The sequence below is a fragment of the Homo sapiens genome, chromosome X, assembly GCF_000001405.40.
Source record: "Homo sapiens chromosome X, GRCh38.p14 Primary Assembly".
Taxonomy (NCBI): domain Eukaryota; kingdom Metazoa; phylum Chordata; class Mammalia; order Primates; family Hominidae; genus Homo; species Homo sapiens.
This window is the reverse complement of record NC_000023.11, coordinates 115,343,033-115,366,753: the sequence shown is the minus strand read 5'-3', so window position 1 is coordinate 115,366,753 and position 23,721 is coordinate 115,343,033. Positions and strand designations below refer to the sequence as shown.

The 23,721-nt window shown below is 42.3% G+C and overlaps 1 long non-coding RNA gene across 1 annotated transcript in view, besides 1 other annotated feature; it reads right to left on the bottom strand.

Moving 5' to 3' along the window:
* Positions 1–23,246, bottom strand: part of LOC107985681 (uncharacterized) — a 29,905-nt gene extending 6,659 nt beyond the window's left edge. Inside the window, exon 1 of the long non-coding RNA XR_001755944.2 lies at positions 20,409–23,246. This is a non-coding gene — a long non-coding RNA (uncharacterized LOC107985681). The remainder of the gene's footprint in view (positions 1–20,408) is intronic.
* Positions 21,188–21,687: an enhancer, noted in NCBI's record as "OCT4-NANOG-H3K27ac hESC enhancer chrX:114579651-114580150 (GRCh37/hg19 assembly coordinates)". NCBI's record gives its function as "activates a minimal SCP1, AML or CMV promoter by ChIP-STARR-seq in naive H9 embryonic stem cells {active_cell/tissue: H9 hESC(naive)}" and the evidence as "EXISTENCE:reporter gene assay evidence [ECO:0000049][PMID:30033119]".
* Positions 23,247–23,721: the final 475 nt, after the last annotated feature.

The window sequence follows — 23,721 nt, the reverse complement described above, 5'->3', positions numbered from 1 at the left end:
CCAAGACCAAAGACTATTGTTTCTGGATTATCCATTAAACATATTATCTGCTTCTTTCTTTCCAACAGTATATGCTAAGCTCTTCTGTGTCTTTTGCACTTAAGAACGAATGGAGAATCTGGAAATAGGTTTGCAGCACTGAGCCAATTAACTGGGGCAGTGTTCAGTACAGGCAGGTTGGACACACATTGATTTATTTTTAGTTGTAAGGGCCATTTGGGCCCTTCTGAGATTCAAAAGGAGGAGTGGTAGAGTTGAGTCTAGAATCCAGGTTTCTTTTTCTGAGAGAGAGGCTTGCTCTGTTTCCCAGGCTGGAGTGCAGTGGTGCAGTCATGGCTCACTGAAGCCTTGACCTCCTGGGCTTAAGCGATCCTCCCACCTCAGCCTCCCAAGTAGCTGGGACTACAGATGTGCACCAGCACGGCCGGCTAATTTTTGTATTTTTTCTAGAGACCGGGTCTCACCATGTTGCCCAGGCTGGTCTCAAACTCCTGGCCTCAAGCAATCCTCCCGCCTCAGCCTCCCAAAGTGCTCAGATTACAGGCGTGAGCCACCATGACCGGCTTAGAATCCAGGTTTCTTGAATCCCAGTTTATGTTGTTGCCATGTAACCACCTTGACCCACTTAAATTAGTTTTGTCTTCATCACAATATTAAGAGGAGCTTTCTATAATCTGAATGTGTCCCTGAAAATTCATGTGTTCAAGACTTCACCCTCAATGCAACAGTATTGCTAATTGGGTGGGGCCTTTTGGGAGCTGTTTATGTCTTGAGGGCTCTGCCCTCACGAATGGATTATAAAACATTATAAAATGACTCGACAGAGGGAGTTTGGTCCCCTTTTTGGCTCTTCTGTTTTTTCCACCATGTGAAGACACAGCGTTGCTCCCCGCTGGAGGATGCAGCAACAAGGCAACCTCTTGGAAGTGAAGATAAGGCCCTCACCAGACATGGAACCTGTCAGTGCCTTGATCTTAGACTCCCAGCCTCCAGTACTGTGAGAAATAAATTTCTGTTCTTTATAAATTATCCAGTCTGTGGTATTTTATTTTAGCAGTGTAAACGGACTAAGAGAGAGGGCAAGTAGAGGGAGATAAGGGTATTTAAGACCTAAATGGAAGGGAAAGACACCACCAAAAAAAGACAGAGTGGGAGGGCAGCCAGAGGCTTCTAATACTAGCTCCTTCAGAGTTCCACATGGGGCCAGCCTCACCCTCTGGACCACGTTCAGATTCTCACCTTAACATCTGAAGCCCTGCATCAACAGTTTGTCTAACCTATTCAACCCTTCTGGCTGATGACTTTAAATGTGTATCTCTTATCCCAGATAACTCTTGCCAGTCACCTGTCTCTAGTTACCGGATTTTTTTTTTTTTTTTTTGGTTGTCAACTCAAATCCAAAATCATCATCTTACCACCCTCCAAATGCACCCCCACCACAAAAAAAAAATTGAATTCTCTTAATAGCTATGTTTGAAAACTCTGGACCATAAATGAGATTTTTAAAATTTACCCCCCCCCAGTATCTGGCCAGACCCCAAGTTCTGTCCATTTTCCCACATGAAAAGTTTCTGTTATCTGCACTTCTTCTTCATCCTCGTTGCCATTGCTCTCATCCTGGTCCATATGACCTGGATTACTGCCACATCCTTCTCACTGGCTTCCCTGTCTCCATTCTCACTGCTCTCAAATCCAGCTCTGCTTATTCTCATCAGACACAGCTTCATTAGCCTCCCTTTTCTTTGTTGTTGTTCTCCAGCTAAAAAAATGTAAATGATTCTCTAGTTCTTGCCATATTTAATCTGTCAAGTCAAGTGGAAGAGGGTATCAGCTTACTCTGTGTTATTCTCAATGGCAGAACTAAAGCCAATAGGCAAAAGTTACAGAAGAGCTGAAGTTTACTTCAGCTGATCAAAGAAAATTCCTCTGAACAACAAGAGCTGTTGCACAAGGAAGCAGCCTGCTCAAATACTGAGCTTCCTGCCCTTGGGGAGATATATTATCAGGAGCTGGGAACTACCTGTCAAGATTGTTGTAAAAAGGATTCATATTTTTAGGAGGTAGGAAAACACTGATGACATTAAAGATGATGATAGCCAACCATTTTTGAACATTGGCTCCATGCCAGGCACTCTCCTTGCTGTTGTTAGTGTTACCTCATTTATTCTCATATCAACTCTGTAGTAGACACCCTTTTTATCCCCACTTTACAGTTGGGTCTACTATAGTGATTAAGTGCATAGACTCTGGAGTAAGACCACAGTTCAAGTTAGCTCTGCCACTTACTGGATGAATGAATTTAAACAAGATTCATAACCTATTTGACCTTAGTCTCCTCGTATTTACAATAGAGGGAATAACAGTACTTGCTTCACTGGCATGTTGTGAGGATTATGTTGTAAGATAACCTACGTAAAGCACTACTTGGCTCACAGTAAATATTCAATGATCATTATTAATCTTGTCTTCATTAGATTATATGTTACTTGGGGAAAGTGGCTCCATTTCTTCTATTTTCCTCATCTCAGCTGGCTCAAACTGGCCATGCAGTAAATCTTCCTTCAATATGTACTTATGATCAATGATGGTAGTGAATACTCCCCAAAGCTTCTCCATGAGACTTAATGCCTTGTTTCACCACCAATGATGTATTCCCATTGACCTTCTTTCTCAGTCAACCCAAGGTCAGGCCCTCCCTGCCTGCTTTGTGTGTGTGCATGAACTCCACTTACCATTTCATCAGTAAGTAGCCGATCATGATGATTTTTAAGGTTCAGAGTCCTTGTATTTTCTAATCACTAACCCCAGTTACTAAACAAATGAAAATACCTTTGCCGACAACCTTCCCAAACTGTGAACCAGACTTCCATTATACTAATATCCTGCCATACTGCATACCTTCCTTTCATATTGAACCTCATAAGTTCTGTTCACAGCTTATAGATCTCAAAACATTTCCTTAGTACAGCTCATCTTTTGCTTTGTTTGAGGAAGTTGCATGAAATAACCTGACAAAGAGATAACTGTCTATTGGGAAGCTCTTTTTTTTAGAGCCCTTTGATATCATTCTCATTTTGGTTTATAAGCTTTACATGAAAGGAGTGGGGAGGGGAGACTTTCCTTTTCAGCACGAATAAATTAGTAGCTGTCCTAGAGATTATGCTTCTGAAGCCAGGTGCCGCCACTTAGCTTAATGTTTCATGATGTGTCACCCAGCAAATTATGAGTTGTTTGAATTGATTTTCTCCAAACAGCTGAGCTACAGCAGCTTTTGTTCTATTGATGTTTGCTTCAATTTCTGAATGTGTATTGCTTCCAGACAGAAAAAAAAAAAAACATTGCATGTCTTATAAAGAAATGTCATTAACTCACAGAGCCTAGTCTATGATTAGAAGGTTTGAGGGGGGTATGCTTTTTTCATACAACGGAGCTACTCTTGATGGTTTAAACTCTTTTGCCAGTTCCTAACTCCTTTCTACGTCCTTTGAATATGCCATATCATTATCCTCACATCTGTAAAACCAGGTTGTATTGAGTTTCAAAATTAAGGATTTATTTTTTCATTCAATCATACCCATAATGACTGACCATTTACTCTGTGCCTCAGTTAAGCCTTTTGAGACATAGAAGCAGCATGGATACTGGATCTGGCTCTCAATGAGTTTCTAATCTTTCTGGGGATTCAGGATAAATATTTATGAAACAATTCAAGAGCACCATAGGCCATCACCATAGTACATTCTAATATATGTGCTATACTTAAACAAAAGCCCTCAAAATAACGATGGTCTTTAGGGGTTGCTCACCCTGCTGGGGAAAGGAGGAACTGAAGTGAAGTGAAGGGGGCTCTTTTCCTTCCCTAAGAGCACTGGGGCTGCTCTGGGCCAGCTAAGCCATCTGTCTCTCTGCCAGTGCTTGTTCATTTATGTGGTTAAGAGAAGCCACAGGCATTCTCATCTAGAAATTGCACATTAACCTTCACCCCCTCCTCCACCCTGTGTCCGGAATTGGTTCCTTTGGGTGGGTTCTTGGTCTCGCTGACTTCAAGAATGAAGCCGCGGACCCTCGTGGTGAGTGTTACAGTTCTTAAAGATAGTGTGTCCGGAGTTTGTTCCTTCAGATGTGTCCACAGTTTCTTCCTTCCAGTGGGTTCGTGGTCTCGCTGGACTTCAGGAGTGAAGCCGCAGACCTTCGCAGTGAGTGTTACAGCTCTTAAAGGTGACACGTCCGGAGTTGTTCATTCCTCCCAGTGGGTTCGTGGTCTCGCTGACTTCAGGGGTGAAGCCACAGACCTTCACAGTGAGTGTTACAGCTCCTAAAGGTAGTGCAGACCCAAACAGTGAGCAGCAGCAAGATTTACTGTGAAGAGAGAAAGAACGAAGCTTCCACAGCGTGGAAGGCGACCCAAGAGGGTTGCCAGCTGCTGGCTCGGGTTGCCAGCTTTTATTCCCTTATTTGGCCCCGCCCACATCCTGCTGATTGGCCCATTTTACAGAGTGCTGATTGGTCCGTTTTTACAGAGTGCTGATTGGTGCATTTACAAACCTTTAGCTAGACACAGAGTGCTGATTGCTGCGTTTTTACAGAGTGCTGATTGGTGCGTTTACAATCATTTAGCTAGACAGAAAAGTTCTCCAAGTTCTCCCACCCGACTCAGAAAGTCCAGCTGGCTTCACCTCTCAACCCCACATACAAACACACACATACACACACCTATATGGGCATTGGAGCTTATGAGTGTGCATTTTTCTTCTATTATTTCTTGACTTGTTTGGCCGATTCTCGATTGGAGTGTTAAGATTTGGGATTGGGTTTTGGGATAGAAAGAGAAGTAAGATGGCCTTTTGCCCTCCTTTTTATTGTATCGTTGCCTTTTTTTTTTTTTTTTTCAGGAAAAGGTAAGCTTTATGTCACAGCAATCTCAAAACGGAGCAGTCATTAGCACCATATCTACAAACTGGTAGAAAATAATAAACACTTCTACATACATATTTGATAATATATCAGAGGAAGTCACATCAATTCCTGTTATTCCTGCCACTCCTTGCTCAACATCCTTTCCTGTTTGAAGCTGAAAAGATAGACTTGAAGATGCTTATGCTTTTTACTCAAACATGCACCAATTTCAGGAAAGGGGGCATCTGGTGGCAATTATTTTAGGGGATCGGCTAAATTATTAAATGTCTTCATTAGTAAGACAGTTAATTTTGTAGCTTTCCTGATTTTTTTTCTCACATTTTTATTATTTTTATTTTTTATTTTTTTGTTTTTGAGAGAGAGTCTCACTCTGTCACCCAGGCTGGAGTGCAGTGGCACGGTCTCCACTCACTGCAACCTCTGCCTCCAAGGTTCAAACGATTGTCCTGCCTCAGCCTCCTGAGTAGCTGGGATTACAGGTGCCCGCCACCAAGCCCGGCTAATTTTTTGTATTTTTAGTAGAGATGGGGTTTCACCATGTTGGCTAGGCTTGTCTCGAACTCCTGACCTTGTGATCTGCCAGCCTCAGCCTCCCAAAGTGCTGGGATTACAGGCGTGAGCCACTGCACCCAGCGTTTTCTCACATTTTTAAACAGGCTGCAGAAGTTTCTCATGTCGAAAGTAATGTAGTTGATATATATAAAAAAATAAAGCGCTGCCTCCATTACTTAAGAGGCAGATACTTTCAATCACCATTCACAATAGCCAGTTGGAAGGATCAATCCACTGTTTTTGGAAACACTGGCTGGGTGGCTATCTATACACCAAGAAAGTGGGATGTCTGGGCAGCACATGCCAGTACGAGGTGCATTGGGCAGCCGAGCACTTGTTTTATTACTTGTTGGTCTATCTTAGTTCACAATATAGAGCTGCTAGAGTCTTCAGGTTGTCTTCCCCCTTGCCCTGAAACCACTCTGGCAGGAATGCCATGTCATCTCCAGGGCAGTCTGGTGATTTAAGCATTACTGGGTCCTCTGGTGAAATATCATTCAATGCCATATTAATAAATGCCAAATCCTCAACAGATAATGAATCTTAAGGGATGTAGGGAAGAAATATCAGTGAGGATTGGAATGAGTCAGCAAAGGCTGCTTGGAAGAGAAGATGAGGTTTTAAAGTGTCAATAGGATTTGGCTGGACAGAGAAGTTGGGCAGGGCAGTCTGCAGATCTACAAGAATGGGTCAATGTGTTTGGTAATGTCAAAATCCATACTTATTGCTAGGATACTAGAGACTTGGGACTCCTATCTTTGTTGGTATTGAAGGCAAGCCAAAGAAACTGAAGACATGTGTTTTCCACAGCCGAATTTTAACTTATTACTAATGAAGTCTATGCAGACAGAAGTGACAGCATTTGTGATAAAGAGAATAATGCTCAGGGTCTCAGCTTAAGGTTATGCAGGCTGCATCCTGCACAGAGGCTCTGAGTGCATGGGTAGAGGTGGGGAAATACTACTGGCACAGGCATTTCCAGAAGCTGTGTCTCTCTGTAATTGATCCGATTACAGGGGACCTTTTTTTCCCCCCAATTCATCTGCCTGCAGGAAATGCCATTTTATAATTTGCCAGAAGGCACTGTATGTGCCAGTAGTGGCCCTGGCACTGATATATTCTTGTAGAATATGGCTTTGGAAGAGATTCATCTTGCCTGCTATCTTTAGGCGGAAAAATCATCAGCAATTTTCTTCCCTATTAAAACTTTTTTGTAGACGATCATGTGGCTTTGTTGGACAATACATTTTAGCTTCTTATTTTTCTCCTCTTTTCATTCTGTTGGGGATAATAATGAAAACAATAATAACTAAACGTATGTCTTACTGGTTGTATTAGTCTATTCTCATGCTGCTAATAAAGACATATCCAAGACGGGGTAATTAATAAAGGAAAGAGGTTTAATTGACTCACAGTTCAGCATGGCTGGGGAGGCCTCAGGAAACTTACAATTACGGTGGAAGGGGAAGCAAATACATCCTTCTTACACAGCGGCAGCAAGGAGAAGTGCCAAGCAGAAGGTGAAAAAGCCCCTTATAAAATCATGAGATCTCGTGAGAACGCACTCACTATCACAAGAATAGCAGCATGGGGGTAACCACCCCCATGATTCAATTACCTCCCACCAGGTCCCTCCCACGACGTGGGGATTATGGGAACTACAATTCAAGATGAGATTTGGGTTGGGACACAGCCAAACCATATAACTGGTGGAGAAACGAAAGCCAAAATAAAAATGAAGGAATATGCAACTAAAGTCAATTATGGTCTCAGTAACTGGTTTCATATTTAATAGTTGGACATCTTATAGAAAGAAGGAAAATTCAAGTGTTACTATTTATAGGAACTTGTCAGGTCATATGATGTCAAATTTAAGTAATGGAATATTTATTATTATAATAAGATTCAGAAGATTCAATTTCTAGCCTTCATATTTACCAGTGTTGATCTTGGGCAACTCATATCTGTGCCTCAGCTGATTTGCCTGCAAAATGACTCTGTTATTTCTAATGCTCCTTCCAGCTCTATAATTCTCTGATTCTATTTTATTATTATACTAAATTCACTAAAGACCATAAAATGGAATAGAAATAATAATCGCCTGGCCTAACTATCCTTCAATATATAAAATAACTGCATCCCTAGATTTTTTGTTTGTTTCTTTATTAGAGCATCCTTGAATAAAAGGAATTCTGCGTTACAACTCCCTTACATCCTATAACTAAAGAGGTATTTCTGAGACATGACGTTTTTTAAGAGTTACATTCCAGACTTGGAAATCACAGACATTCTGAAGATCATACCATTTTCCATTTCTGAAGCTTTGATAACACTCAAGGGTACAGACAATGAACCATTTTCTTTCCTCTTACCTATAAAACCCTCAATTATTGTTCTCTTGCTTTGTTCAGGTAGAACTTTCCTCTGGTCAATAGTGTTATTACCATGAGTGTCTGCAGTGCAAAAGACATTCAGCAGTTCTCATAAAATCAGGAAAGGAAGAAATAGGAAAAAGGAAGGGAAGTGGGGAGAGTAACTAAATCTTTGTCCTGGGTCTTTCTTTTCTTTTCCCCCCATAACTGTACCTCAGATCTCACCTGAGGACATAAAGAGCCATGTATCCCACTGCTGTTCTGAAGTTTGTTTTTAGCTGTACTTTTGATAGTACCATTAGACAGTGGGGCTTGAGACATTTCCAATAAGCAATTCTTCAATTAATCCATTTCACATTTATTCCTTACCTTATAAATTACGCTATGGAAAAATGTGGTATTGGTGTTTTCTTATAATGAGGTCTTATTGTACCATCTGGGATACAGTGATAGTAAATGACTTGCTCAAGGTCAAGGAAGGTACGGTTTGTCCAAAGAGAAGCCAGAAATAGAACTGAGGCCTGCTGACTTTCACTTTAGTTTAGCATTCAATAAACCACATTCTCTTTCCTCTGTACATTTTAACTCCAGTGGTTTGCCCTGGGCACAGATATTAGACAGCTTCCAAACCTAAGCAACCGTCAAATGGTCAGAGGTAGTAAAATGGGTTCCATGGAGAACAAAATGTATTATGTCATTGTCAGTAACCAAACAGGACTATCAAGTTCACATTAGCAGTCGAGGTAGTCTACCTTTACCCCTCCTTGGACACTTTTTTCTAAGGAAGAATATGATTTTTTGTTTGTTTCAGTCAAAAACATATTTTGAATGAAAAGGTCAGATTATTTTTATATTTTTGTCTGCAATTGAGGTAATGAAGTATGGAGTTCATTTGTGAATGTTTTGAATGGCAACGTCTCCTTGAAATTATTTTTGCTGGGAACTCAAATGAACATTCTTTCAAAAGAGTCACTGTTGTAATTGGCAAACCTCTGAGACAGTATCTTGGGAGAGAAACAACATGCAGTTGGAAAGGAATATAAAATTCACAGGCTTGCAACATGAATTATCCATTTCATATACCATATTTTCATGTTAAAACCATCTCCAGATAGAAAGACAAAATCTTAGTATCTTTAATTGTGAAAAACCTCTATTAACATTAGAAACCAGAAGGACATAACAATTTTATTACATCTTTTGCGTGCCTGTATCTTATTACCTGTTGATTCAAAATGTGTCTTATTATTTTTATCGTAAGATGTATTTGACTATTTTTAGTTTCCTTAAAAGTCTTTTGGAGGAAATAATGGATTTGTCTTCCACAGGATCATGACATACCTCTTGGCTATGGCTCAGGCTTCAAGTCTATTTAAGGATGCTTGCATTACTAAACCCTAAAATTGCTGCATGACTCCTGATCAACTGTGAAGGTTTTAAATAATGGATTTAAATAGCTAGACTTATACTTCATCTTCTAATAACAAACACACCCCTCTGAGGCTAATCCCTACTACTAATAGAGAGGTCTTTCAGTTTCAGGGTTGGAGGGGTGGTGAGGTGAGATTCACTTCTTAGAAGCACTGGCTATGTACAGAAAGATGAACTCTGAGAAGAACTCAGTTCTAAAGTGTTCAGTCTTTGCAAATGCTTTATGAGTTTTCGTTTCCTCCTTTACAAAATGCCATCAATTCCTCAAGGAAAAAAAAAAAGCTTTCTTCTAAGCTCTGGAAATATGCCTTACTGAGATCCCAGGGGTGATTGCCTGGGTCAAGCTAAGACAACCTGGAAGCTGTGAGTTTTTCTAATCCTGTGGAGCCTTAGGAAGAGAGTTTGGTTACCTCCATTCAAAGTCAAGTAATGGGGACACACAAAGAGAGTGTAGTTTCATTGGAAAGTTAAATAGAGAGTGCTTTGGTTTTTTCCAAATTCATTTTCCTAGCCCAGAGTACATGAATCAAAGTGGGATGTGATGTTTCCACAACAACTCTAGTGTGTTAAAGACCACAAGAGTGTTGTTTACTCCCGCTTCAGAGAAAATAGCATGCCTATAGTTCACATCAACACAGTAGACAACTTAGTCTCAATAAGATGTTTGGTTTTCTTCCTTGAAAACTGAATTCAGTGGATAAGCTTCTTTCTTTCCAGTTTTATTTTTGATGATTTGTATCTTCTGTGTCTAGTACATTTCACCCCAAAGCACCAAAATATTTTTGGTCTGCCAGTCATCATCATAATAACTATGTAAAAAGAAAAAGGTATAAGGCTGGTTAAATACTTTATCCAGTTTCAACAGCTTCAGAAAGGTTGACGTAAGAAAGAGGTATTATGCCACTTGTAAATATTTCTCAACCTTTTACTCATTCTGGGCTGCTAGAGGATCAAGAGCAAATTCATTGAGTTTAGCAAATAATGAATTGTGCTTGTGTTTTACTCTTAAGATCCATGGAGCAAATTTTAATAGCTTTATGATATTTACAGATTCCCTGACGAATGAGTTTAATGACTACGTTGAGAAGAGACATGCTAACCAGACGAGTACTAGATTGTGAATTATCACTAGCTATTAGCTGGTGGTTACTAATATTAGTTTATTGCCAGATACATTGTGGAAGTGCATGAGATAACGCTTATTCCTCTCTTAATTTTTTTCTTACAAGTCAAATTTACAAGTAGATTTCATTTATATATTTTTCTACTCTCTCCTCTCTGCCATCTGTAAATGCCCACCTTGGGTCTGAACTTCTTCCTTGGGTTTTCCAACTCACTCTAATTATCAAAATCAACAAATGACCATTAAACACCTCTATGGGCCAGGCAATGCTTGTCACTTTACATGCACTTGCCCATTTAATCTTCATAACAATCCTGCATAGCAAGTTACACAGTTATCCTCATTTTACAGTTGAGAAAATTGAATTACAGTGAATTTATGCAATAAACCCAAGGTCACATAGCCAAGAAGTGGCAGAGAAAGTTTTAAATCCAGATCTGACTGATTCTAAAGACATCGTTCCTCCATTGCAATGTTTCTCTTCTCTTATCTCTTATGATACCATAATTTGCACTATGCAATTTTATACCAAACTGGTTTAAAATCATCCTCTCTATATTTAGTCTGATCTTCCTACCTACATGCTAATCAGAAAGAGGAGAGGCACCATATGTTAAGCTTTGTTTCCAACTCCTGCAGTCTCTTGAAGAGGGCTAGAAGTATAGAGATTCAGTAACGTGTGATTGGTTTTTGTCTTCAAAATTCTTTTACAAAACAGGTACTTTTAAAAAAAGTAATTTAAAAAGTTCCTGTTGTTGTCTTTTGCTGACTTGTTAATGGGTATTACATCTTTCTGCAAAATGCCCTTTTTTCCATCTCCTTGTGATTATGGTCGAAATCATTCAATTTGATCTCCCTAACTTTCTCATTGATGCGGGAAGTGATGCTAGTAAAGAAAGCACTTTAATAAATTATTACAGCACTTCTATTTTGGGAAGGAAAGAGTTTTTTCATGAAAAATTAATGACAAACCATAGAATATTTAAGCTGAAGGAATCGGAGAGATCATTACATACTTTTTCTGGACCTCTTTCATGGTTCTCATGTCTGTCTGCTTTGTATTTCAGTCCTTTGGGTATGTATTGTCTACCTTCTAGACTTATAAGCTCCTCAAGGACAGAAGCTCATGCCTGGGTTCTACTCAAGCCACCTTTCTATTCCATAAAGTGTCCTGCACCATGCCTATCATGTATTCAGCAACCACTGAAGATTTGTGAAATGAATGAATCAAATCCACCACCATTGTCCTATGTTCAACAGATGTGGAAATAGATTGACAACAAGTATTTACATGACTCTAAGATCGTACTGCTAATTCCTGGTAAAACCAAGTCTAGAACCCCGTTATTCTGATTGTTAAGTCAATGATTTTTCCAGAACATCTTGTTTCCCAGCCCATTAAAAATAAGTATGGAATTTCTCTTAGTGTGTGTAATCCATCATTTGCCTTCAGCTAAAACTCCTGTTGACTGCCTATGGACCCATTGGGAATATACCCATTGTGGGAACCAGTACAAAGAACAAACACAAAGCACAAAGAGAAGGAAGAGTTATTTTTTCTCTATTAGTACACTTGGCTAGAATGGGTTGTATATTTAGTAGCGATAAGACAGATTTAAGCTTAAGCACTTAGAGGCAAGTCAAATCATAACAGTGTAGGTGTTTGGGATACATATTAAGGAATTAGGTCAGTCTCTGCCAAAGCTTGACTTAACTCCATGTGAAAGTGTGCATATGTGTAACAATATAGATAATACGAAATATTTTTTCTGAAGATTAGTGGTTACAAAGATTAAATCAAATAGCTAACAAGCCTTTAGCAAATACAGGAATGTCTTCTGTGAATTTGATAATGGAATATTAAATGAAAATATTTTGATATTATATTATAGGAAGCAATCATCAGTAAGAAACATTTACCAAGTGTCTAATTGGTGCTAGTGTATGGAAACTGAAAGACAAGAAGCTAGAGTTCCTGTCCCTACAAATGTACAATCCAGTGTCAGAAATAAGATATGTTCATAAACAGATGACTACAAAGGATGACAAAGGAGATGACCATGAAGTCAGCATAAGAATTTGGCCTTTATCCTTGGTCAATGGGGAACATTAAATGCATTAAATATTAAATAAACATTAAATTAATTTTGAACAGAGTTATGATGGAGGAATGCAAAGCGGTGCTTTAGGAATATTAATCTGACATAGGTGTGCATTGATTGAAGGATGATAAAAAATCAATATAGGAATACCACTTTAGAGATGGCTGCAACAATCCCTATGAGAGGTGGTAAGGATGCAGTCTAAGGTAAGAATGAAGGTGATGTGAGTACAGGGCCAGGCCTGGGAGAGATTATGAAGTTAGAATCTACATGACTTGATGCCTAAATGAATCAAGAAAGGGGATATTAAAGTTGATTCTAAAGAGAGAAATTAGTTCTTTATGATTGACTTTATTATGTTTGTTACGCCTATTGATTTGAATCTGCTATAAAGCAGAGACTTTCACTTGCTATCTTTAAATTCCAATATCCCAGCATAAATTAGGCAGTATTGCTCATATATTTTGGCCTTCACAACAGGAAATCTTTATTACAAGGAAGGAAAATGGAGGACTTCATGATGGCAAAATATCATAAATGGAACTTTCACTCCCAGTAGTATGTAGCACAGTGCTGAACATGTAGCTATTTAACAAGCACGGAAATGGAATTTAATTTTGTGGTAAAAGGATCAAAGTTCTGTTGGTTTTATTTCTAGCTCTACCAAGAAATACCGTATGACCTTGGAAATGTCACTTAACCTTTCCATACTTCCATATTCTCTTGGCATTAAGGACCTGTAATAATCCTTCTAACTCTCCTAGTCCACAACTTGATCACTCTCAATTTGACTTTGACCTTCACCAAATCCTTTTCTGTACCCATGCTTCACTTCCACCCACTACCCAACCCAGGACCTGAATCTGCAGTCAGCTACCCAGACTGAATTTCTCAGGTATTTTCCCATTCTCCAAAATACTCCTCTTCTCTTACTTTGGCATCATCTTTCATCCTCCCACCTCTTTAGTCAAAAAAAAATTTTTTTTTTTTTTTTTGAGACAGAGTTTCGCTCTTGTTGTCCATGCTGGAGTGTAATAGTGCAGTCTCGGCTCACTGCAACCTCTGTCTCCCGGGTTCAAGCAATTCTTCTGCCTCAGCCTCCCAAGTAGCTGGGATTACAGGCACCCACCACCAGGCCTAGCTAATTTTTGTAATTTCAGTAGAGATGGAGTTTCACCATGTTGGTCAGGCTAGTCTCGAACTCCTGACCTCAGGTGATTCATCTGCCTTGGCCTCCCAAAGCGCCGGGATTCCAGATGTGAGCCACTGTGCCTGGCCAAAACTCTTTTTTTTTTTTTTGGTTTTTGTTTGTTGTTGTTTTTGTTTTTGTTTTGTGCCAATATCAGCTAGGTGTTAAAAGTAGAACAACCTGATCCAACAATTGCATACTATGATATGAAAGACAAATCACATGAAAGATCCTCAAGGATTCTCAGACTTTACAAAAGGGATCTCATTATCGTGAGATTTCAGGCAAAACGACAGAATAAACTCACGAAGTTCAGGAGAAAGATACTTAGTAAAACAGGCTTTTTACTCATATTATATAATCCTGGTCCTGTCATAGAGATGGGCTCAGATTCAGGAATGCAGATTTTCATCCACATCATGGAAAAAAGACTAAAAAGTGGACCATATTTTGAATGTTCACTTTAGATCACCCCTGCTCAATTTTCATTTGTCCCACTGCCTGTCTTCTACCAACAGTTAAACAAATATTTATTTAGTACTTAATCTGTATTATACAGCAAGTTAGTAGTGGTATTTTAAATATAAGTAGAATATGGTATCTGCCTTCAAAGACCTTACAGTGTATTGTGATGGACAGAAATCTAAATAGATAATTACTTAGAAATATATCACTGGACGTTTCACCCACATTCTTTCCTGAATGTGGGGAATTCAGGAAAGACTTTCCTGAGATCAAACCTCAACAAAAAAAAAAAAATTTTTTTTTGAGACAGAGTCTCACTCTGTCTCCAAAGCTGGAGTGCAGTGGCAGGATCTCGGCTCACTGCAACCTCTGGCTCTGGGGTTCAAGCGATTCTCCTGCCTCACCCTCCTGAGTAGCTGGGACTACAACTGTATGCCACCACGCCCTGCTAATTTTTGTATTTTTAATAGAGACAAGGTTTCACCACGTTGGCCAGGCTGGTCTCGAACTCCTGACCTCAGGTGATCCACCCGCCTCAGTCTCCCAAAGTGCTGGAATTAGGAGTGTGAGCCACCGCACCCGGCCAACAACTTTTTTTAAAAGTCTATAGACAAGGGCTGGTGCATATGATCATAACTGGCCTAATGTATGCAATCATTATATCTGAAATGTAAGTCCTGGACATTAGGCATAGATTATTCACTTTTTCAAACCATACTGGTACATGCAACTTGCTGAGGATTTTGCTAACAGTGGTGTATATCACCAAAGCCAGTTACCTCAATTGTTCTTACAAAGAAGTCTGAAAGGATATGCCTTTATCCTTTGGTTCTTTGGATATTCTGAATAACCTGGCTCTAGATAAATAGTTCTGTCCTATTCTGTTTGTCTCCAAAAGGCAAAAGCATTTATTTCCACTAATTCTAGCCTTCTATTCTGACCTTCTATAAACTCTGACTTTAGTTCATTCAAACTCTACATTCGTCTAAGAATTAAACAGTTTTCATAGTCTTGTAAAAAAAAAAAAGTCCTGACAGACTTTTTATTTGGTGGTTGTCTCCTAGTTAGGTGCAAAATCGTCAGAATGAAAACATGTTTCATGATGTTCTTCTGTTTAAGTGATTAAACTGGACTATGTCTATATAAAAGCTAGTCAAAGTTCAACTGAACTGGGATTATAAGAAAAGCCTTGGATGTTTTGGAGGCTGCAAAGTACATGGAAAAATCTCTCCAAGTTCAACGTACTCTGCAAGAGACTTTCCAATTCCAATGGTAAAATGTGGGAGCTGCATATGCATAAAAAGCACAGTAGCCAAAGCTTCTGCAGCCGCCATCACCTTCCAACCTAGCAGGACTTGGGTCCTGGCCAAACAGACACTCGTCAGGGGATAAATGGTCTGATCTGTGAACAGTTTGCACTATGTAACTGAACCTACTGGAAGAGAAAACCAGGAATGGACTTATCCTTCTTACATCATTTTCATGAAGATTGCCAGTTACTGAAAGACTTCTATGTGCAAGTGTGTTCTTTAGATGCACATATGCACATAATCAAAGACACAAGCTTTTGGATTCCAATGGTGATACCACTGCTTCCAGCCTCTTGAATTTTTTAAGGGCTAACTGGCTGTAATTGGCACCAGACATTTATAAGTATTTTATATTTGTCAGTGTTTCCTTTGCGCTTCAACCTAGGCTGCTTGCTGGTGCTCTGACGCCTTGCTGGCTGGCTGGCGGTCACATGAGCCGGGAATATTCAGATGAATATACCGTGAATTGGCCTGGGGCACTGAAGCAGATGTGCCTGTGAGCATGAGTGACAGTAAGACAGCAGGGAACAAGGCCGCTGGTAGGCAGGCTGACTCAGGCTGGAATGAAACTCCGCTTTCCTTGTGAGACATGATGTGCTCCAGAAGCTTCAAGGAGATTCTAGACTCAAGTCTAGACCCCTCCCTGCTTCTCACCATCACCTCTCAAAACTTCTCTTCTCTTGCTTTCCATCCCCAATCCCGACTTCTGCCCAATATACGTTTACATCATGGCCCTCTGTCTCTGTTACTTTCTCTTTCTTTCTCTCACTCTGTCTTCCCTCCCTCCTTCCTCCTCTCTCTTTCTCATACATTCCCTGACCGTATACACTAGGGTCTCCAGACAGTTGATCTGAATCCCATAAATCTATCAACTTTGAAACCCTGTCAAAATCCCAAAATATTACCTATCAGCAAATTCTAGGAAGACAGTTCCTGGGCATAACTTCTATACCCAGCTACCATGCCATACCGTGCAGTTGACTGAGGCCTGTGTCCCCATGGGCCTTTCTAATACACTTGGAGGAGACTCGGTGCCTTGGTGTCCCCCTTATCATCGTCTTTTGTCATTTATGGAACAGTCTTGAGATGGAAAGGTTGAAAGAGGAACAACAGCTTTGCACCACCGTGCTTTGAATGTATACTTTGCTTTCTACCAATACTGACCAGATTTTTAGTAAATTCTACTGAATAATTTTTAAGAGGACACGAAGAGTATTGTCTTTGGGGGTCAAATGTCTCTGTTCTGTGATGTTGCCACAGAAAACATTTGAAGTCCCGTAGCTCGTCAGGATTTATCTATTAGTCTGGGAAATGGACTTAGTGTACTGTCACAATAGTGCCACCTGTGGCTCTTCAGAGCACCTGTTTCACAGGTTACTGAGGCACAGACATGAAAACCATTGAAATGACCAATTCTAGGCCCAAGCCATCCTTTATTGATTGCAGCAGAGCAATGATTCAGGAAAATTGTAGTTAACAATAACACTAACACTACTCAGTAGATGCCAGCCACTGTTCTAGGTGCTGTGCCTAGAACATGTAATGCTGTACATGCATTATTTTATTTAATGTTTACAACAAGCCTATGAAATATGTAGTAATATTATCCCCATTGCACAGTTAAAGAAACTAAGGCATGGAAAAGTTAAATAACTTGCCCAAGGTTACACACATAATAATTGGCAGTGAGAGGATTCAAACCCAGGCAGTTGGGCTCCACAGTAAAAAGTCCCGACCAGCTGTCTGTTAAAAAAAGACCTGAAGTTCAAGTATATATATTCTGTTGACCTAGAGCCATTCCCATGGCATCTTTGCAAAGCCCCTTTCTTTGGCTATTGGCCAGCTGTCTTAGGGGCCAGTTTTCACCATATCATTATCTTTAAGGTTTCCTTTTATGTTCATTTGAATCAAATTTCATGTGGAAAAGGGATTTTGGAGAGAGAGTTGAGGTAGCAAGTGTCCTTTCCCAAAGAACATCCACTCTCCTGTACCCCCTCATCTCACAGTCCTCTTAAGGATAACCCTGTTGTTTTCTTCCATTCCTATGTGAACCTTAAAATAAACAGATTATCTATAGAGATTTAAAAGAGATTCCTGAACAGTTCAAGGCTATAGATTCACTTCCAATCGAGGTATGGCCCAGAGACCACGTTTATTAGAAGCACTTGGGAACGTTGTTAAAAATGCAGACTCTAGATACCTATTCTAGACCCGTGGTATCTCTGAGGGTAGAGTCCATAAGTATGCATTTGTGAAATGCTTCCCAGGTGATTATGATGCAACTGAATATTTGAGAACCAGCACTCCACAGTTTGGTGTGTAAAAGAAGTAACGACCCTGGAAACTGATGACCTAATAGATCTGGCTCCACAACTAATTTCCTGTGTGACTTTGGGCAAATCAATTAATTTCTCTGGACCTCAGTTTTCTCATCTGCAAAAAGGGACAAGTCTCTTCTTTTCATCCTCCCAAAGTTGTATAGATCAAATATAAATGTATGCGAAACTTCTTTAGAGATTATAAAAACACACGTTATTATTAGTAGTAGTAGTATGGGTGGGGTCAGGGAAAACAAACTGAAAAAGGAATGCTGTTGGCAAAGACTGATGGGAAGGGAATCCAGTTTTTTTCTTTTTCCCATCAGAGTCCAGACAATGGATTATAGTACTGTGGAACTTCAAGGTTCTTTCCAAGACACAGCCTCCCTCCCCCTACCTCCATGCTTTTGCAGTTTACTATTAACAGTGAAGAAGGAGGCTTCTCTCTTCCACAATATTTATTTAGGTGAAAAACCTATCTGAGCAGGTTGAGGTCAGCTCCAAGTTGAGATCAATGGCCAACATGGCACTGTCAGTCAGGAAGACATTGGATCTTTCCCCTTCCTTATTAGGGGCAAATGTAATTAAACAATAGTCATCTACATATCAGCAGAGATGGAAAACAATAGATATTTTTGTGCTCATTTAAAGTTAGGCGGCGCCGGCGAGCGCCGCCCGGGAGGCAGCGGCTGGAGGAGCGGACGGGCCCCGCGGGGCCCGAGGGCAAGGAGCAGCCGCATGCCTTGGCCTCCCAAAGTGCCGAGATTGCAGCCTCTGCCCGGCCGCCACCCCGTCTGGGAAGTGAGGAGTGTCTCTGCCTGGCCGCCCATCGTCTGGGATGTGAGGAGCCCCTCTGCCTGGCTGCCCAGTCTGGAAAGTGAGGAGCGTCTCCGCCCGGCCGCCATCCCATCTAGGAAGTGAGGAGCGCCTCTTCCCAGCCACCATCACATCTAGGAAGTGAGGAGCGTCTCTGCCCGGCCGCCCATCGTCTGAGATGTGGGGAGCGCCTCTGCCCCGCCGCCCCATCTGGGATGTAAGGAGCGCCTCTGCCCGGCCGAGACCCCGTCTGGGAGGTGAGGAGCGTCTCTGCCCGGCCGCCCCGTCTGAGAAGTGAGGAGACCCTCTGCCTGGCAACCGCCCCGTCTGAGAAGTGAGGAGCCCCTCCGCCCGGCAGCTGCCCCGTCTGAGAAGTGAGGAGCCTCTCCGCCCAGCAGCCACCCCATCTGGGAAGTGAGGAGCGTCTCCGCCCGGCAGCCACCCCGTCCGGGAGGGAGGTGGGGGGGGGTCAGCCCCCGCCAGGCCAGCCGCCCCATCCGGGAGGGAGGTGGGGGGGTCAGCCCCCTGCCTGGCCAGCCGTGCCGTCCGGGAGGGAGGTGGGGGGGTCAGCCCCCCGCCCGGCCAGCCGCCCCGTCCGGGAGGGAGGTGGGGGGGTCAGCCCCCCGCCTGGCCAGCCGTGCCGTCTGGGAGGGAGGTGGGGGGGTCAGCCCCCCGCCTGGCCAGCCGTGCCGTCCGGGAGGGAGGTGGGGGGGTCAGCCCCCCGCCCGGCCAGCCGCCCCGTCTGGGAGGTGAGGGGCGCCTCTGCCCGGCCGCCCCTACTGGGAAGTGAGGAGCCCCTCTGCCCGGCCAGCCGCCCCGTCCGGGAGGGAGGTGGGGGGGTCGGCCCCCCGCCCGGCCAGCCGCCCCGTCCGGGAGGGAGGTGGGGGGGGGGGGGGTCAGCCCCCCTGCCTGGCCAGCCGCCCCGTCCGGGAGGTGAGGGGCGCCTCTGCCCGGCTGCCCCTACTGGGAAGTGAGGAGCCCCTCTGCCCGGCCAGCCGCTCCGTCCGGGAGGGAGGTGGGGGGGGGTCAGCCCCCCTGCCCGGCCAGCCGCCCAGTCCGGGAGGTGAGGGGCGCCTCTGCCCGGCCGCCCCTACTGGGAAGTGAGGAGCCCCTCTGCCCGGCCACCACCCCGTCTGGGAGGTGTACCCAACAGCTCATTGAGAACGGGCCAGGATGACAATGGCGGCTTTGTGGATTAGAAAGGCGGGAAAGGTGGGGAAAAGATTGAGCAATCGGATGGTTGCCGTGTCTGTGTAGAAAGTAGAAGACATGGGAGACTTTTCATTTTGTTCTGCACTAAGAAAAATTCCTCTGCCTTGGGATCCTGTTGATCTGTGACCTTACCCCCAACCCTGTGCTCTCTGAAACATGTGCTGTGTCCACTCAGGGTTAAATGGATTAAGGGCGGTGCAAGATGTGCTTTGTTAAACAGATGCTTGAAGGCAGCATGCTCGTTAAGAGTCATCACCAATCCCTAATCTCAAGTAATCAGGGACACAAACACTGCGGAAGGCCGCAGGGTCCTCTGCCTAGGAAAACCAGAGACCTTTGTTCACTTGTTTATCTGCTGACCTTCCCTCCACTATTGTCCCATGACCCTGCCAAATCCCCCTCTGTGAGAAACACCCAAGAATTATCAATAAAAAAATAAATTAAAAAAAAAAAAAAAAAAAAAGGCATGCGGATGGTACATGCCACAGGTAGTCATCATAAAAGGCACAGAAAATATTGTTTATTCTTCATGTTTAATAGACTGCTATAACAAAATACATTACCCTGGGTAATTTATAAACAAGAGAAGATTATTGCTTACAGTTCTGAAGGCTGGGAAGTCCCAGATCAAGGCATCAGCAGACTCAGTGTCTGATGGGGTCTCACTCTCTGCTTCATGGATGGCACTTTCTTGCTGCGTCTTCACATGGCTGAAGGGCCAAACAAGCTCCCTCTGCCCTCTTTTATAAGGGCACTAATCCCATTCATGAGGGCTCTGCCCTCATGACCTAATTACCACCTAAAGGCTCTGCCTTCAATTACCACCACGTTGGGGATTAGGTTTCAATATATGAATTTTGGGGGAGACACAAACATTCAGACCATGGCACTTAAAGAGTCCAAACATTTGTTTCTGATATAAATAGAGGGATCTGGTTATTTTCAAGGTGGGTTACCCTACTTAGGCCCCATTAATTCCCCTCTACTCTAGAAAGTTTTAGTCATAGGATTTCATCAAGGTTGTCAACACTCCTACGATTCAAATTGAGTCTAGAGTTTTATCCCAACATCTGGCTTTCAATTTCGGAATGTCTAGGTCATTCCTGCCTCTCAGAAAAGAATGTCTGTCCACTTGTCCATTCCCCGAGTGCTCTAGCTTAGTGCCTTTCCCCTCTGCCATTCTGACTTTCCAACAGGTAAACACAGTTCATGAACTTTAGCTTGCAGAGCAGAGGCTGTACCTGAGGTGACCCCAAAATTCATCCAAATATTCTATCCAAGGGCAGGCAAATGCTACATGGGAAATCACAAAGAGGAGGAAAAAAAGAGAGAGAAGAGACAAAATGAAGCTTTGACAAGCAGCTCAGCTGGGCCAGCCCCTTGGAAGGGAGCCAGCATTGGGAAAGCAGCAGCAGCTCTGGGTTTCACAGTCAGTCTGGAATGCACTTCAATACAGCCCAGCCTCCATCTCGTTAGAGGCCTAGTGTTTGATGATTCAGCTGCTTCCCGGCTGCCAGGAGAGATTTGGCCAACTGTTTGAAAAACACTGTCTGCCCTAGACCACACTTGTTTTTATTCTCTGCCTGTTGTCAGGGGCCTCTTCTGAAATGGAACACCTCAGGAAATCAGACCCAAACTCTGAAGAGTTGATGCTCCCTCTTGTGCCCCTTTTCAAAGGCAATTAAACCAACATAGGGATTGTTTGCAGCAAAGTGCTTTCCTAGTGATGTTGAAAGCAGACAATGTGTTACTAGGAAATGATCTCTCATTAGATCTCCTTTAGATCCAATGAAAAACATGGTGTGCTAGCAGACATATCAAACATTAAAGGCACAGCTGAGATCTGCCATTGCTGAACTCCCCATATATCAATTTGTTCAAAGATGCAGGTTAAAGGGTAATGGAGACAAGCATTCTGGGAAAGGATTGAGCAAGAGCCTCTGCTGTCAGCTGGACTCTTGAACCCTTCTGTTTGCTTCTGAGAAGTCTATTAGAGCTGCAGGCACAACTTTCTAACAAAGAAAGCTGACTCTCGAAGTGGACTGGGCTTCCTCACACAGAAACGAACATTTTACCTTAACATAGCTTAGCAGCTAAGAGGATGATCTTTGGAGTCAGAGTGCCTGAATTTGTAGCCCTGCTCCACCATTCATTAGTTCCGTGAACTTAAGACCTCTCTGTGCCTCACTTTCCTTACTGTAAAATGCGCCCAATAATAGCACCTTCTTTATAGAGTGTGAGATGCAGAGCCTAAAGTTGACATAGGTGAGTGTTTAGAATAGGGTCTACCATATAATAAGCCTTCCACAACAGCATTAACTATAATTATTATTATGCCCCTGAAGGCATTCTAGCTAACACCTCTCTTGTACCGTGTGGCAGAGTGATTGAGAACACAGCTCTTTTAGTAACACAGTCTTAGATTTGAATCACTTCCACCACTTACTAGCTGTTTAGGCTTGGTTAAAGTTACCTAACCTCTGTAAGCCTCAGTTTCTTCATCTGTAAAATGGGGATAATAATTGTACCTATGTCATAGGGCTGTTGTCAAGACTAATAAACTATGTAATAAACTTTAGCCAGGTGTGGTGGCACACACCTATATTCCCAGCTGCTTGGGAGACTGAGGCAGGGGGATTACCTGAGCCCAGGAGTTTGAGGTTGCAGTGAGCTATTATTTCATGCCACTGCACTCCAGCCTGGGTGAGAGTGGGACTCTAATAAGTAAATAAATAAAAATTTAAAATTAAACTATGTAATAGACTATGTAAAATGCTTAATGCAGTGGCTGGTCCATAGTAAGTACTCAATAAATGATAACTGATAATATAATATGCCTAAAATTCCATAGTTCTGGAAACCTCATATCTGTTTTTTCTCCTAGTTTTGCCTCTATGTTCATACTGAATAATAAACATTCAGTGTCTGCCTTTCCTTATTTGCAAAAAAAAAAAAAAAAAAAGCAACAATGTCTTCATTAACTCTTTGCTCAGGAGGAAGCAGAGTTACCCAAGAGGGCAGGAAGTGGAAAATGGGACTCCTGTCTCTTCAACCCTGAGATGCTTCCATGCTCTCAATAGTCACTTGCGCTAATCAGCTGAAAAGGGAACCAACTGGAAGCAAAACCAGAGTAAATTGACAATTACCAAACTCTTTCTTTTTATGAAAATGCTTGGTTATTTGTCAGACTTTTGGTCTATTCAGTATTTCTCAGTGTATTCTTTATTCCTCTTGTATGGTGTGACAACCTGGGTGGGAAGGGTAACAAGGAAGAGAAACAAATCCCTGGCCTTCAAAACCTCTCCTGTTGCTTGGCATGGAAAGTGGGCTTTCCGGAGAAGATAGTGTGACCCTGTTGAAACGAGAAGCCCATCTAAACGGTTGTAATGGCTCTGTACTCCTCTCATGCTCCAGCCTGTTCCTCAGCTGGGAAACATGATTTAGAAAAAATCCACGTTGCCCCCTTTCTCTTGTACTTGCTGTGTGAACATGCAAAAGGTCTCATATTCTCCCTTGTTTTTCAAGCAATACATATATTGAGATTGAAGAGGACAGCATTGCTCTAGCTTTATTCTGGAATACGAAAAGAAACTAGATCCGAATCAACAGATTCTCAGAGAGTGATTTAATGTGTCACTGGAGCACTTATCTCCATAGCATCGTCACTTGACTTTTTGCCCAAATTTACAGAATTGCACATGTAAATCCCTGCGTGGAATACCCTTCATGTGGCTGTGCTTCTGCAAAGTCCACACTAACTCTCTCTTTTCTCTTTGATGCAGTGGCTGGCCCATAGCAAATATCATTGATTTCTAGCATGGTTTCAAAGGAGCTTCCAGAGATTTCCTGATATCTAATTAATTTCACCCTTCTCAGGCTCTTCTCAACTCTCTTGTCCTCATCCCGTCATCTCA